Here is a 16,485-nt window from a genome sequence, read left to right as displayed (position 1 = left end):
GTAGTTTGTATTTCTGTGGGATCGGTGGTGATATCCCATTTATTATTTTTTATTGCGTCTATTTGATTCTTCTCTCAAGAGGCTTATCTTTAAGTTCAGAGACGTTTTCTTCTGCTTGATCTATTCTGTTGAAGTTCTCAACTGTATTTTTTTTTTTATTTCATACATTGAATTCTTCAGCTCCAAGATTTCTGTTTGGTTCTTTTTAAATTATATCTATCTTTTTGTTGAATTTGTCAGTCAGATCATGAGTTGTTCTCCTGATTTCATTGAATTTTCTATCTGTATTCTATTGTATCTCACTGAGTTTCCTTAAGATCATTGTTTTGATTACTTTTTGGGAAATTTGTGAAGTTTAATTTCTTTAGGGTCAGTTAATGGAGAATTATGTTCCTTTGATCATGTCATATTTTCTTACTTTTCCATGCTTCTTGTGTCCCTGTGTTGATGTCTGTGCCTCTGATGAAATAGTCATCTCCAATTTTAGAGTAGCTTTCATAGGGAAAGATTTTTACTGGCATATGAGTCCTAGGTTGGTTGTGTGTTGGCTCTGGTTCCAGGTGGGTGCAGTAGAGCAGTCTCCATGAGGTTTTTTTCAGTTGTGATTGACATCATTGATAACTGCAGCTGAATCAGTGGCTGAGGCTCCAAGAGTTTGTAGCAGCAGTGGTGGCAGGGTCGGTTGTTAGAGCTCTCAGTGGAAAAGTCTTTGCGGGGGGGGTCCTCTTGTTTTTTTTTTTCCCACAGTGGGAAGAAGTAGCTGAGGGGATCCCTCTTGGTGTTGGGTCTGACACAGGCCACAGGCAGCCACAGTGGTTCTGTGTTCCAGACTACAGCTGCTTGGAGTAGCTGTGGAGTTTGGGTCCTGGCTTCAATGTCTTGTTGTACTGTTGTAGAACCTGTAAGGTGGGTGTTCACTCTCTGTGACAAGTGGATGAAGCTCCTGCACTAAACAGAGGACTGTTACTCTGAGCCACTCCCCAGTAGCTTGGGCCCAGGGGTCAGGTGTGTAGCTGTGACTCTGATGCTGGGGGTCAGGGCACAGCACTGGTATGGCTCTGGGGAGGAAGGAGTGTTCCAGAAACTTGGGCCTAGAGCCGATAGGGTACAGTGGCAACTCAGGCATCAGGAGAGGAAGTAGCACATCATGGTGACTCTGGACTCTGCAGAGGTGGAACACGACAGTGGCCCAGGGTGTGTAAGTCCAGGTGCAGTGGCAGAGAATTCCTAGAATGGAGGTGCACAGCTGTGGCTTGGGCTCTAGGAGGTGGGGAGCAGGGCAATGATAGCTCAATACCTTGGGGAGGTGCAACACCTCAGCAGCTCAGACTCCAGAGGGCTGGTTCAGATCCGAGAAGATGGAGCTCTGCAGTTGCACAGCCCAAAGGGTAGGGTGAAATAGAACAGCCAAGACTCTGTTTCCCTAGGGGGTAGGGCACCACATCTGCTCAGGCATCAGAGGTGCAGCTGCTCTGGTGAGACCATCTCTGGATCCCCAAGGGGCTTGGTGACACATGGGCTTGAATGCTGGGGTTGTGGCTACTCTCCTGGGCTGACACTGATTCTGAGGGGTGAGGTATGGGGTTGGTTATGGCTCTGGGGGCTCAGGTATGCTCTGCTGGCTCAGGCATGATTTACCCCTCCCTTATCCAGCTACTAGAGGGCAGGGATGTTGCCTACACTTCTCCCTGCTAGATGATTTCCTTATGGATTACAAGGCCTGCACAAAGAGGGCACTCGGTGCACAATTGTGGAATTAAATCCATTGAAATTATCAGGCAAGAGGATCTACTTTCTACATACACACATATGGTTGGGATGTTCTTTCTTTTTCACAAATGGGATCATATTGTATGCATTGTATTGCCAACTTTCTTTTCTTCTCCTTCTTCCTTGTGTAATAATGTCTTAGGGATCTTTCCTTGACTCTGTGAAGACCCACTTCATTCATTTTAACTGCTGGATAATCACTCCTGTATTGATGGGCATTTGAGTTCCTTCCACTCCTCACTATTTCTTGTGATGCTGCTGTTGGCTTTCTTGCACAGGCCTCTTGCTACACAGGTGTGAGTGTTTCTCCAGGAAAGACACCTGAGCAGGACTCACTGGATGGCAGGGCTCCTCTTTCCTGTCCCATTTACTGGGTCAGATGCTTAAAATCTAAATTTTCCTGAAAGACAAGTTGAACTTAGGAGAAATTCCTTTCCCTGGGAGTGGTAGGGAGTGTCAGTCCTGGGCTTGTATCATGAACTTGGCACACACACAGATACACACACACACACATGCATGCACACACACACACTTGATTCTATTCCAGCCTGCTCACCAGGAAACCTAATTTTAAAACAGGAACTAATTCATGTGTTTTTCAGCTGCATCAGGTCATTTATATTCTTCTCTAAACTGGTTATTCTAGTTAGCATTTTGTCTAACCTTTTTTCAAGGTTCCTAGCTTCCCTGCATTGGGTTAGAGCATGCTCCTTTAGCTCGGAGGAGTTTGTTATTACCCACCTTCTGAAGCCTACTTCTGTCAATTCGTCAAACTCATTCTCTGTCCAGTTTTGTTCCCTTGCTGGTGAGGAGTTGTGAACCTTTGGAGTAGAAGAGGCATTCTGGTTTTTGGAATTTTCAGGCTTTTTGAGCTGGTTTCTCCCCATCTTCGTGAATTTATCTACCTTTGGTCTTTGATGTTGGTGACCTTCAGATGGGGTCTCTGAGTGGACGCCCTTTTTGTTGTTGATACTATTCCTTTCAAACCAGGAACTAATTCATGTTAGCATCTTTTGTGGAAGCACACTGAACATGAAAGTCCTCATATTTGAGCTCTAGTATAGGATTTGTCACAAACCTTCCAAGACAATGTAGGACAAGGAACATAGCCTCTATGGTCTTAAATGGGTTTGGAGGAGATAAGGAGTAGAGGAATAGACACATTACTGTTCAAGGGCACTTTCGGTGCTAACCTTCCAGGGTGATGCTTTGGTTTTCTGCCCTTGACCTCAGGTTTGCCCATAGGAGACACAAAATGGGGAGTGGATGCTTTAAAAGCCAGTCAGCTTTCCCAGGTGAGTCAGAGTCAGCAGCTTGGTGACCTAAGCCCTGGTCAGCAGCCCTACCTTCTTTCCTGGAGCTACCACTGCTGGTTCCTCAGCTGACCCCTGGAGAGGGCAGGTTTCACATCTCATACAGAAGAAAGTCAGGAGGAAGCCTTGCCCAAGACTTAGTAGTCTATATTTCTGGTGGCTGCCAGGCCCCACCACCACAGATGCCTGGTTTGGTGTTTCTGACAAAGAAGTAGAGCTGAGTGGTAAGGCAAAGGCTCTGGGGTCACACTGCCTTTGTTCCAATCTGACCGGCAGACAGAACTGGAGAAAATCACTCAGACTCTTACTTTCCTTATTTTTAGTTGGGGGTGAATATTAAGTGAGGAATTTTCACATGAGCACATGATAAGGGCTCAATATGCATTTATGATTGTTGTTGTTAATGTCCACAACAAACACAGCTTTTAAGGTAACCAGTGGTGTCTGATGAATTCGTAGATAGATGCATGAGTGTACAGCAAGTCACAAGGCTAATATTCTGCTCATATTTCTGCCACTGGCTCCCTCCAAAATCAGTCCTCTGCTCATTCAAACTGAAAAAATGTTCCCTAAACTAGCCTCAATGTGAATCCTAGCATTGATAATGGCTCTTTCTTAATCTGGGATTGTCTTCCCACCTATTTCTGACTATGAAAATCCCATCTTTCAAGGTCCCCAATCACATGCCACCTCCTCCAAAAAACTTTGTTTTTCCTGTTGAGAAGTGTTAACTTCATTTTCATATCGAATATATATCTATATACTGATGGTTCCCAAGTTTGTATTTTCCATAGAGACCTTTCCCCTAAATACCAGACTTGTGAACAGTTCCACCTCACCTACCCACTCAGCCAAGCCTGCTCTCCTGGCAGGCCTCCTCCTGTCCCCTATATGAGATAGATCCAGTGCCAATTGTAACAATAGGAAAAACAAGCTGTTATTCCTACTGGGGCACATGATACAACACTCAACACAGCATGTAGAGTATTTTATTGCTTCTCACCAAAATGTGTCTGTTTTTTTCCTCACATACCAAGCAATTCTCCAGCAGACACCAACTGGGTGTCCTATAATTCAGTTCAGTTATGACACCATCTACCTGAAGATAGTGTCAGATCCCACGGTTTAAGAGCCCAGTCCCACAAAATTGCCCTCCACTTCAGGTGTCAGTCACAAGCCCCTGGTTGTGATCTGTATTTCTGACCAGCTAGCTATAAATCAAGGGTTCCCATGATCCTTTCTTTGTGTTTGATTAATTTGTTAGAGCATCTCACAGAACTCAGACTAACACTTGACTTACATTTACCCATTTATTATAAAGGATATTACAAAAGGATGTGGATGAACGCCAGATGGAAGAGAGGCATAATGTAAGGTATGTGGGAAGGGGCACAGAGTGCCATGCCCTCTCCAGGTGTGCCATCCTCCCAGCACCTCTACTGATTCATCAACCAGGAAGCTCTCTGAACCCTGTCCTTTTGGGGTTTTATAGAGGCTTCATTGTGTAGCATGACTGATTAAATCATTGACCATTGGTGATTAGCTCATCTTTAGCACCCCCTCTCTTCCCCAGAGGTCAGGTCAGTGGGGTTTGAAAGTTCTACTGTAATCACACGGTTGATTCCCCTGGCTACCAGCCCCCATCATGAGGCTATTGAGGAGTCCACCAAGAGTGACCTTTAGAACAAAAGATGCTCCTGTCCTCCAGGAAATTCCAAGGGATTTAGGAGCTCTGCATCAGGTGATCTTGTCACTTAGGGAATCATAAAAGTTTTAGGAGCTCTGTCTCAAGAACCAGGGGCAGAGATCAAATATGTATTTCCTCTTCTTCTTCTTTTTTTTTTTTTGAGGTGAGGTCTCACTATATTGTCCAGGTTGGTCTCAAACTCCTGAACTCAAGCAATGGTCCTGCAGTGGTGGCCAAGGTGCTGGGATTACAGGCTTGAGCCACCATGCCCACCATGTATTTCTTATTATATCACACTATTACACAACCTCTGTCAGTTCATGGCATCCCAATCCTTCTAGGTACTCAGGCCTTCTCTCATACCCCACATCTCATGCAACAGTTAATTCTGCGTCAACCTGCAAAATAAACCAGAATCTCACCACTTCTCATCACCTCCACTGCTTCTACTGTTAAAAGAAAAAACTTTAGAAAAATTAAACTTAAGAGCATTTAATTGAGCAAAGAATGATTCACAAATTGGGCACCCCCACCCTTGCCCCACCCCCACCAGAACAAGAACAGTTTCAGAGAGCTCCAGGCTGCAACTTGAGCAGGCAGCATTTACAGACAGAAAACAGAAGTGAGGTACAGAGGCTGCTTGATTGGTTACAGCTCAGTATTTGCCTTATTTGATCATAGTTTGATCAGTTGGCCACCTTTAATTGACTGAAGCTCTGCTGCTGTGATGGGCTGAGACTCAGCTTTTGTTACAAAAGTATACACCCAAGTTAGTTTCAGTTAGTTTATGTACTAAATTAGGTTATAGTTTGTAACATAAGAAATCAAATATGGAGGCGTCCTTAGGCCAAATTTAGTTTAACATTATTTTTAAGAAAAGAAAAATAGCTCAGAACAATCTGAGCTGTGCGAGGTATGCAAAATTTATCAGGCTCAGAGTCATGAATATGGGACTTCAGTAATGTCTCCTGCACCCATACCATGGGTCCGTTATTAAAGGCATTTTTTTCCTGACTAGCTGCCTCACTCATAATCTTCATTTTCCTGGAATTTAATAACAATGTATAGCCAATCAATAGCTTATGTTATTTTAATGTAAATTATTGGTAAATAACTTAGGAACTGCTTCTTCTTTTCCTTTAAAAACCCACCTGTAATTGTGGCTAATCCAAGCTCATATTCAGGGCAACTTGAATCTATAATTCTGGGTTGCAGTCCTCAAACTTGGCTCAAATAAACTCTACTTATATTAAGTTTGCCTCAGTTTTGTTTTCCTTTAGGCCAACCCCCTGGTCCAGCCACACTTTTGCTTGCATTACTGCAATAGCCTCTTGCCAGTCTTCTTGCTTCACTCTTGTCCTTTTCCACCCTGTCTATTCTCAACACAGCAGCTGGAGTGATTCTTTCAAATCATAAGTCATATCACTCTTCCACCGAAAATTCTCCAATGGTTGCCATTTCACTCAGATGAAAGCCACCATCCTTAAAATGATCTAGCAAGCTCTACATACCCAGGCCCCTGTTACCTCTCTGACTTCATCTCCTGCTAATCTCCCTATGCTGCCGAATCTTCAGTCATCCTTTGGAACCCACTCTGCACTCTTCTCTACCCTGTGCTGTGCCCCCAGGAGGCTGGCCTCTATGGGCTTCCTCCACAAAGCTCTCTCAATCTTTGGCTTCCAATTATATTCAGTCATGGGAAGATGGAAGGTGAGAAGATGGAGTATTTATTCTGCTGGCCCCTTTCCATTCATGACCTTGGCTAGGCCATAACTATGTTTCTCTATCAAAGACACAGCCCCTGGCACTGGGCCCTGGCTGCAGCCAGCTCTTGCTAGATTCCACTAGCTACCTCTCCTTTTGTGCCTTCAGGCCTAAGGATGTTATCGTTTCTTTTTATTTCTAGCCCTGGAGTGCGTCATCATACTTGCTGGTTTGCCTTAAGCCTGCCTACACTTTTGTAATGAAGATCTTTCTTCATTCTTTCTTTAATTATGACCTTGAAGGTGTCTGCTTCCTACCTCTTTCTCACCATGTTCAAGTCACACTCTCTTCTGCCCTTCCTCTATCATGATGGGCACGCTTCTGCCCCAGGGCCTTTGCACTGGCTCTTCCCTTTTCCTGGCATGCTTTTCCCCTGGCTGCCCCTGGATCCTTCCCTCATGTCCTTTCGGTCTTTGCTCAGTTGTCGTTTTCTCAGTGATGACTTCTGTCTCTCTGCCCTTCTGAAAACTGCAGCCCCTCTACTGTGGCAGACCCTTTTTTTTTCCATAACACTTTCCGCCATCTAACACACTGTATAATTTACTTATTTATTATGTTTCTTGCCTTTCTCCTTTCACTAGAATGTGAAAGCTACATGAGGGCGATATGTTGTCTTTTTTCCTTGCTGATTATCCTCTAGACTTAGATAAATGCCTAGGTGTAGAAGGTGCTCAATAAATATTTGTTCACTGAACAATTTGTTGAGAAATGACATATTCTTGTCTCTTATGGGATCTGTATTAGTTTCCTAGGACTACTCTAACAAAGTACCACAAACTGGGTTGAAACAATAGAAATGGATTGTCTTACAGTTCTGGAAACTAGAAGTCCAAAATCAAGGCATCAGCATGGCTGTACTCCCCCTGAAACCTGTAGGGGGAATCTTTCCTTGTCTTTTTCTAGTTTCTGGTGGTTTGCAGGCAATGCTTGGTATTCTTTGGTTTGTGGCTACGTAACTCCAATCTCTGCCTTCATTGTCACATGGAGCGCTCCTTGTGTGTCCTTGTCTATTCACAGGTTTTTTTTTTTTTTTGAGATGGAGTCTTGCGCTGTCACGGAGGCTGGATTGCCGTGGCGCGATCTTGGCTCACTGCAAGCTCTGCCTCCCGGGTTCACGCCATTCTCCTGCCTCAGCCTCCCGCGTAGCTGGGACTACAGGCCACCACGCCCGGCTAATTTTTTTTGTATTTTTAGTAGAGGCAGAGTTTCGCCATGTTAGCCAGGATGGTCTCGATCCCCTGATCTTGTGATCCACCTGCCTTGGCCTCCCAAAGTGCTGGGATTACAGGCGTGAGCTACCACGCCTGGCCCACAGGTTGTTTTTTTATAAGGACATTTTTATAAGATCATATTGGATTAGGGACCTACCCTCCTCTAGTATAACCTTGTCTTAAATAATTATATCTACAACAAGCCTATTTCTGAATAAAGTCAGATTCAGAGGGTGAGGACTTCAACCTATCTTTTTCAGGGGGACACAATTCAACTGATAATGGGATCTTTTCAGTTTTTCCCTGGAATTATAGTACCTAAGTTATGATTGCTCCAACTAGATTACAATTTTTCTAAGAAAAAGGTTCAATTTTATGTCTGAAATGGCATACTGGTGGGTGGCTCTTGGGTTGGATTTGGTCTGCAGGCAAGTTTGTCTGTCCTGAGGTATTGGACCACATAGTGCTCTGAAAGATTTTTTGAAATAATTTATAAATATTTATTTATTTATTTTTAGCATTTTCTTAGAGATAGGGTATTTATATGTTGCCCAGGCTGGTCTTGGACTCCTAGCCTCAAGTAATTCTCCTGCCTTAGCCTCCTATAGCTTATAAACATTTAAACGTTAGGAAGCTTCACTTACAAATCTGGATTTTTGGTTTCCATGACAAAAGAGAATGTGTGGTTGCACAGGCCTGTCTTGCACCATGTTCCTCAATGCCCAAAGCCTAGCAGGGGCTTCTTCTTAGACAGAGCAGTGCCCTCCATGCCCCACAGGTACACCTCTCCCTGTTGTTGCCCCAACCTTGACACCAGTGAAACTTCTTTTGCAAAGATTATGACAGTGAGAGGAGTTTAATGTGACTGATTTCATCTTGCTTCTAGCCTCACAGGCTGGCTGTCTTTGCTCATCCCTAGGTGTAGGCCAAGCTAACCATGGGAGGAACTTAGTTTGTAGTCTAACTTTGAAGCAAGGATGATAACAGTCCCTCTCTAAAACGAATTCCCTTGTTGTTTGGGGGCTGAAACTGCCTTTGTAAGGCTAATGAAAAGCCATAAGATTAAGATTATGGGAGGGACCTGAATTCTGCTAAAATGTAGATATAGTTTCTATAATCCCTTATTGTTCAGGAGTCATGTGGTCAGAGGTCACAAGATTTGTGACTTCCCCAATTGCTTCTGTAGGTAACACCACTATTGTAGAACCTAAAATTGGTCTTTTGAGATGTCTTTCAGACTTTTACATTCTGGCAACTGACTGAGCCCACCCAGACTCATTACTCATGACTTCACCTGTCCTGTGTTTCCCATCTAGAAACAAACTCAGTGCATGAGGACTATTTTCCACATTCCTATGATTGCACCCCCAACCAATCAGCAGCACCCAACCCCTCCCTGCCTGCCCACCAAACTATCCTTGAAAAACCCTAAACTCTGAGTCTTCAGGGAGATTGACTGGAGTGATAACCCTGGTTGTTCTGCATGGCTGGCCTCACATTAATGAAAGGTTTTCTCTGCTGCAATACCAGTCTCAGTGAACTGGTTTTGTCTGTGCAGCAGGCAGAAAGAATCCATTAGGCAATTACAGTGGGATCAGCTGCCACTTATCTCCTGGCCAGTTCACTCATTTCTATCAGCTGCGTGGCTCTTGTAGCCATATGAGCTTGTAACCCCTGAACACCAAACAAATATTAAGGGAATAACAGGTATTCCATAATGATGGCAATGATGGTGATGGTGGTGAGTTGAAGGTGGGTTGGAGCTCCACTTTTTTTTTTTTTTTACCGTATACTCTTGAAGCTTTCTCAATCTAGCTTTTATCTCCACTGCTCCACCAAGATGTCCAGTGGTAAATTCTCTGTGCACATCTTACTTATTAGCAGCATTTGACATAGTTAATCACCTTCTGCTCTTGAAACACTTTCTTCACTTGAATTCTGTACCATCTTATGCTCTTGGTGCATATCGTCTCACTGGCCACTATTTCTCTATCGCTTTTGCTGGTTTCTACTCCTTTCTTATTCATATAAAAATTAATGTGCTTGTAGGGCTCATTCTTGATATATCCTCTGTATTCTATCCTCCACTTTCTGCCTTAAGAGATCTTGCTTGGTCTTCTAACTTTACATACCCTCTACACAGTGACAACTCCCAAATACTTACCTTCAGCTTTTAACTTCTCCATGAACTCCAGATTGCTTTGTCTACATTTGCTTGGATATACTAAAGGACTATTAAATATTACATATACAAAACCAAACTCCTGGTTTCAATTCACAAAGCTTCTTTTCTCCTAGCATTTAACATTTCAATAATTATTAAATTATTTCAGTTGTTCAGATAAAAAAAATCAGAACTACTCTAAAGTAGATTTTTTTTTTTCCTCTCATACATTCAATGTATCAACACATCCTCATGGGTCTCTGTGATGGTTAATTTCATGTGTTCTCTTGGCTAGGTTATGGTGGCCAGTTGTTTGACCAAAGAACAAAATAGATGTTGAAGGTATTTTTTTTTAAAGATAATTAACATTGACATCAGTAGACAGTGAACAAAGCAGATTACCCTCTCTAATGTGCATGGGTCTTCCCACTAGCTGACTGGGGGCCTTCCAATCAGTTGAAGGCCTTAAGACTGAAGACTGAAGTTTCCTGAAAAAGAAGAAATTCTTCTCAAGAATTCTTGACTGCAACATGGGAAACTTATATGAGTCTCTAGTCTGCTGCTCTGTGGAATTTTGACTAAAGACTGCAATAGCAACTCTTACTTGAGTCTCCAGACTGCTGGCCTGCCCTATGGATTTCAGATTTGCCAACCCTCACAGGAGCCAATTTGTTAATTTTTTTTTTTCTCAACTTTTATTGGTCCTGTTTCTCTGGAGTACCTTGACTAATACACCCTTATTTCAAAATGTGTCTAATACCTAAACCCTTTTCATCACCTCTACCAATAGCACTTTGGTTCAAGACATTATCATCTCTCTGCTGGATGTTACAATTGCTGCATATCTGGAGTTCCATCTATAGCCCATGAGCCAGGCTGACCCTTTAAAACCGTAAGTCATGCATGTTACTCTTCTCTTTAGTGTCCTCCATTGGCTCTTACCTCATTCAGAGTAAAAACTGGAGTCCTTAGATGACCTCTAAGGCCCTACACTGTTTGGTCTCCTGCTGCTTTCTCTGACTTCATCTCTGTGCCCTCACCTACCTCACTAGCCTTCAGCCACACTTCCTTTAACATGCTAAGCAAGTTCCTACTTCAGGGCCTTTGCTCCTGCTGGAAGTCTCTTTGCTCTAGTCAATTCATCAGGCTACCCAGGAGCAGAACAGCACAGTTTCTTGCATCTCAAGGGAAGCAATGACTTTATCCAGAATGGACTATTCATTTAAGACCTGCTGCAATGTGTGTGTTAGCCAACTGCCTAGGGTGTCATCTCTGACACATGGCCTGGGATCCTTTCAATAGTTGATTTTGATCATTTATAGTCTGATTGTTGTTGTACCTGTGTAAGAGTGGTTGGTGTGCAGACCAGCCAAGGAGCAATGATAAGTCTGCGCATCTGTCAGCGTGTGTAAGTTAGAGCATGGGGCTTCTTGTCACTGCCTGACTTTCAAGTACATCCCAGTTTTAAGTGGCTGTTTTCTAAAGAAACTCTTGTCCTTTCATTGTGGGCCCAAGAAAACATTTGAATTCATATTCAAAAACACTGTACTTCAGTAAGGGAAACACATGAGAAACGTATGGGAAGTAGATACTTTAAATAGACCTGCACAGAGAAAACATCCTCCCCGGTGGCAATGTGATCAGAGAGACCCCATCCCTCCTGCGCTCTACTCCCTGCCCCAGCTCTCATCTCCTGGGCTTTGTGTAAATGGTTAGCTGGCTCCAGAGGTTTCAGTCCTTCCTAGGCCTTTCTCATTGTGTGTCCTAGTAGTCATGGGAGAACCCACAATGTATCCCATGTATCAGAAACGTGATTCTTCTGGGCTGTGGAATCAACTAGACCTTGCTCAGTCTTGACTCTGACATTCATAAATGGTGGGAGAAGGGAGGGAGTTGGACAAGTTATACACTCCTCTTTATCCGTTTCCTCACTTACAAAGTAGAAATGATGCCTACATTATGGGGCTGTTATGGGATTTGAATAGAATAATGTACAGTGAGAGCCTGGCCCACAGTAAACATTCAGTAACTGTGTCTCAGGATGAGTCAGGATGGAGACGGGAGCAGTGCTTCAGAGACAGGCTCAAGACCCTGTCCTCTGGGGCTAGGCTGGTGTGTGAGGTGGATACTCCTGATCTCTGGTGGGACTGACCCCTAGGCCATTCTTCACCTGGTCACCCAAGTGCTCCTCTCAGAATATAAACTTGATCAGGCCACTGCCGTCCTAAAAATGCTGGTGATACTGACCTCAAGTTCAGCCTCCAAATAGCCTGCAACATAGGCCTGGCAGGACCTTCTCTTGGCTCACACCTCCTGTTCTTTGGGCCTCTCACCAGGGTCCTTTCACCACTTTGCTCTAGTCATGAAGGAAACATTGGGTGAGCAGTGCTCTTTGAGCTTGGTTGTTAGAGCAGTCATGCTTCCGTCCTACCTTGCTGGCATTCAGCCATATTTTCTCCATCTCCTTTGCAAGATCTCATGGGAGGTTTTCTGAAATTTAGCCACAGTGTCAACTGGATTCCCCTGCTCCACTGCCTATCTGAAACAGGAAAGAGGTTAGTCTTGTGGGACCAGTTTTGCTTGCATACCTGTAGACTTGCTGTATTTTTTCTTTTAGTTTTATTTTTAATTGACACATAATAATTCTACACATTTATGGGCTAGAATGTGATGTTTCAATATATCTATGTATTGTGTAATGAACAAATCAAGGTAATTATCATATCCATCATCTCAAACATCATTGTTTTTTTGTGGTGAGAACATTCAAAATCCTCTCTTCTATGTTGAAATATACAATACGTTATTAACTGTAGTCCCCCTACTGTGCAATAGAACACTAGAACTTACTCCTCCTATGTAACTCTAACCTTTTACCTATTGACCAACCTCTCCCCATCCTTTGATGTATTTGGTTCTCCATCCCCTCACCTGTAAAATGCTGGGCTTCATCAGGTGATCTCCTGGATTCTTTTCCTGCACACCAGCAGCTGGGGGTTTGCATGTTCCCCAGTGAGGAGCTGGCTCATTGATGCTGCTAGGTCCAAGTGAAATGCTGCACCCACAGCTCCAACTTTATCAGAGAGCCAAGGGAGGCCTTTGCAGAGAGAGACTGGGTGGAGATCACTGTAAAGGGGTGGCAGGCCAGTCAGTGTGGGCCAAGTCAGTCGGGGAGGGAGCAAGAAGAGCAGTCTTGATCTCTGGGATGTTCTCTGCCCTCCTCCCCAGCCCTGGCTGCCCTCACAAGAACCAAACTGTGTATCTCAATCCTAGAATGCGAGGAATGTGCTGCAGGCTGATAGGCATGAAGCGATCTGCTGAGAGGCAGGGAGGAGCCCTGTTCCCCAGGCCTGACAGTGCAGGAGCTGTGGGCCTGCAGGCTGGGCTGGGCTGCCCCTCCCACCCTCCCTGGGCCTCCTGCTGTAGCCGGGATATCAAAGGCTGCATTGTGCATTGAGCAGGCCTCGGTCCCTCGTGTGCCAGGGAGGAGGCGGGAGGAGGGACACCGTTGGGAGGCTGTCCCTTGCAGCACTCTTCTGGCCTGTGTTCCCAAGGGCCTCGGCCAGGGTAGGATGGTACACACATGGGTGGCTGCTTCTGCATCCCCAGGGAGCGGAGTCTGACCCGGGGCCCAGGTGAGTTTCCCAGGGGGCCCTTGGCCTGTGGCTTGGCCAAAGTGGATGGTCCAGTAGAGGCTCAGGGACCTGCTGGGTTGGAGAAACTTTTCTCCCAAAGATGGGGAGATGATTGTGCTTTCTGGCTGCCTCTCCTTCCTCCCTGGGTAAGTGTTTGTCATGCTGGCTCTGTAAAAAGGGAGCAAAGCCTGGAAGCATCTATTTTTTCCTGAAGAAAGAGCCTTTGAGTTTACTCTGTCAGGAGCTGAGCAGCACTGCTCCTGGCTGCCACTCCCAGGGTGTGACTAAGCCCTTCCTTCCTTTCTTCCCGAGATCCCCCCAGGACAGGAAGAAAGTTCAGGCAGTGAGTTCCTCTGTGGCCTATGGGTGGCCATAAACTTGGCCTTAGTCATTCAAGCCTATTTTTGTCAGGGTTGCTGTTACTGGAGAAAAACAGGCAGTTTCCTGCCTCCACCTATTACAGAGTGATTTGTGTGTGAGTGCATGTGTGAGTGTGTGCATCAAGTTGAGGCAATGGAGAGTTGTTGCTCTAAGAAATTGTCAACTCATGGGAGAGTGACTTAGGGTGACCAGCCATTATGGTTTGCCTGGGACTGAGGAATTTGCTGGGATATGTCAGTTCCAGGCCAACCAGGCTGGTTGGTCTCCCTGAAGCAACCTTCTTGCTTTTTTTCAGAGGAGAATCAAGGTAGGGCCCTGTGTTCTCTTGTGTGGTGTTTATCAGGATGAGTGGTGGCTTTGGGGAAATGTGGGGTTAGATTGGTGGGGGGAGGCTTGCTTGGGAGATAGGGGAACATTGCTCCAAGGAATCATTCCTAACCCTTGTTAGAACTCTGTGTCTTCCTGGAGCTCCACCATGGTTCCTGAGAGAAGGAGCTAAGGAGCATCCCCTAGCTGAGGGCTTTCTACTCTCTGACAGACAACTTTCTTCTTTAGTCTTATGACTTGGGCTTGTAGAAGGCACTTGAGGTCATTAAAGTGAACCCAAAACAACCATATTCTGCTTCCTCTGCTTGAAGTCTTGATCTAGGCACCTTGGCACCTACAGCAGGGAGTGTCCCCCCAAATGATGCCCTTGGCACAAAAGGCACGACTTTAGCTATGAACAATTTCGCTTCTCCAGATTTCTCAGATGTAAACACTTTTCAGTCCCTCCCCCTAAGTCCTATTGTCATTGTGCCCCATGAGAGTAGAAACAGCATGGAGGGAGACGTGCAGGACCACTGGTCGGAGATCGGGGTTCTAGATCTGACTTCCTCTAGCTCTAGTTATGCAGTTGTCATCTTGGCTACTCACTTGGTCTTTGAGGCCAAAGTGTCTGGATTTTATCTTGGTTCTTTTACTTGCCTCGACAACTTATTTAACTTCTCTGTGTTTCAGTTTCCTTATCTGTAGCTTTTATGACATGATTATGTCTTCTTCATAGAGCTGTGGTGGAGATTAAGTCTACATGTGAAATGGTGAAACAGTCTGGTGCACAGTTAGTTGAGCACAATAAAATTCACCATTGTTAATTCCATTTTGATGACCCCAGTATAACTCGCGCTCTCCCTGGGCCTCCATTTAATCATATATACAATTTTAGGGTTGTAAACTGCTGTGTAGAGGTGCCTCAGAGAGCTCTGCTCATGTTCCCTCATTCCTACCTAGAGCGGCTCTGCTTCTAGTTGACATCGTCCTTCAGCCAAAGATTTCCTGTAGAACAGAGTTACGCAGCTGAAAACAAACAAACAAACAAACAAAATATTGAAAAAGGTCAAAATCATAATAACACTATCATTCAATTACTTTATTCTTTCACCTTCTTTTTGCCATTGATTACTGGCTGGCACCCCGCATTCACCTTTTCACCAAGAGTTAGCCTGCTATGTATCTCCCTCGAGACTTTTCATGCCATTCCCCCATATTATTCCCTGTATGTGTCAGGGCCTTTCCCTAGCGAGGTTGATATTGGTGTTGTAGGTCCAAGTCCAGTCGATCTGGATATTCCCATTCCAGATTCCCCTATTTATCCTAGAGAAAAGGAACAAAGTATGAGACCCATCCTGGAGCAACTTAATAGTTGTGTGACCTTGGGCAAGTCCCTCATGTTTTTTGAACCTCAGTTTTCCTGGCTGTAAACTGTATCTAATGGTGGTACTTATCCCATGGAACTTTTGTGAGGATTAAATTTAATAATTCCTCTCATGGACTTAGCACAAGGTCTGGCTTTTGATAACCCTTCAGTAACTACAGGCTGTTTTATCGTTAGTTAATATGGGCCACTCCTACATCACTTCCTCCTAATTCCTTACTGGTCTGGAGAAGTCTGTACTTATGTTTCCTGGGGTGCTTCTGCCTTGTGTCTGTTTAAGTGAGAGTTAACAGCAGACACCAAAACAGTGAGTCCTCAGGGCTAATGGACACAGGAAAGGAGAAGGCTCTTGATAGCACTGAGCACTGGACAGCTGCCAGACTAGTTTGTGTGGAGTGACACAATAATGAACGTTGACTCTGACTACTCCAGGCACCTGCATTCTTACATGTGGACTCTGCCTGCAGCATCTGTTCCCTGGGATGGCTCTCAACTGCTCACAGAACTCCCCTAATCAGGGGGGACTGCACATGGTGAGAGGATAGGTTCTGATCAGTTGCTATCATCTCTGACTTCCCCACCCTATCTATGAGTTGTTTCTTGCCATTGCTTAATAAGCTACAGTTGCTCACTTTGGATCACAGAGAAAGCCATGTCAAAGTTTGTTGATCAAAAAACTTCTAGCACTTCACCCTTATTTTCAATGCCTGTTTGAAGAAATTTGGCAGATTTATGCCCTTAAATAGAAGATGTGGAAGAGATACATTCGCCTCTGTTGATCACTGGTGCTTGTAACTTTCCTTTCAACCTTTTTGATAAATGTGAATCATCAGTATAATAACAGGAGATCAAGGGTGAATGCTGATA

At 44.5% G+C, this 16,485-nt stretch overlaps 1 protein-coding gene, 1 long non-coding RNA gene and 1 other non-coding gene across 3 annotated transcripts in view, besides 2 other annotated features; 2 read left to right on the top strand and 1 right to left on the bottom strand.

Annotated features, from left to right (window-relative positions):
• The window catches only part of SH3TC2-DT (SH3TC2 divergent transcript), a 46,471-nt gene extending 33,273 nt beyond the window's left edge, over nucleotides 1–13,198 (bottom strand). Inside the window, exons 1-2 of the long non-coding RNA NR_122044.1 lie at nucleotides 12,841–13,198; nucleotides 12,157–12,265 (exon numbers count right to left, since the gene is read on the bottom strand). This is a non-coding gene — a long non-coding RNA (SH3TC2 divergent transcript). The remainder of the gene's footprint in view (nucleotides 1–12,156; nucleotides 12,266–12,840) is intronic.
• Nucleotides 2,316–3,515: an enhancer, noted in NCBI's record as "P300/CBP strongly-dependent group 1 enhancer chr5:148452563-148453762 (GRCh37/hg19 assembly coordinates)". NCBI's record gives its function as "activates an origin of replication core promoter dependent on BRD2, BRD4, P300/CBP, MED14 and CDK7 cofactors, with strong dependence on P300/CBP, by STARR-seq in HCT116 cells {active_cell/tissue: HCT116}" and the evidence as "EXISTENCE:reporter gene assay evidence [ECO:0000049][PMID:35650434]".
• Nucleotides 13,195–13,489: a silencer, noted in NCBI's record as "tiled region #10809; K562 Repressive non-DNase unmatched - State 8:EnhW". NCBI's record gives its function as "represses a minimal TATA promoter and a strong SV40 promoter by Sharpr-MPRA in K562 cells {active_cell/tissue: K562}" and the evidence as "EXISTENCE:reporter gene assay evidence [ECO:0000049][PMID:27701403]".
• SH3TC2 (SH3 domain and tetratricopeptide repeats 2) overlaps nucleotides 13,453–16,485 on the top strand; it is an 80,913-nt gene continuing 77,880 nt past the window's right edge. Inside the window, exon 1 of the mRNA NM_024577.4 lies at nucleotides 13,453–13,544. Coding sequence (NP_078853.2) covers nucleotides 13,493–13,544 — 52 coding nt within the window. The 5' untranslated portion in view covers nucleotides 13,453–13,492. The remainder of the gene's footprint in view (nucleotides 13,545–16,485) is intronic.
• Nucleotides 14,106–14,202, top strand: MIR584 (microRNA 584). Its single transcript, NR_030310.1, has one exon. It is a non-coding gene; the product is annotated as a microRNA 584 (primary transcript).

The sequence above is a fragment of the Homo sapiens genome, chromosome 5 (assembly GCF_000001405.40).
Source record: "Homo sapiens chromosome 5, GRCh38.p14 Primary Assembly".
Classification (NCBI taxonomy): domain Eukaryota; kingdom Metazoa; phylum Chordata; class Mammalia; order Primates; family Hominidae; genus Homo; species Homo sapiens.
Note: the sequence above shows the minus strand (reverse complement) of the source record. Positions and strands in the feature narration are given on the sequence as shown.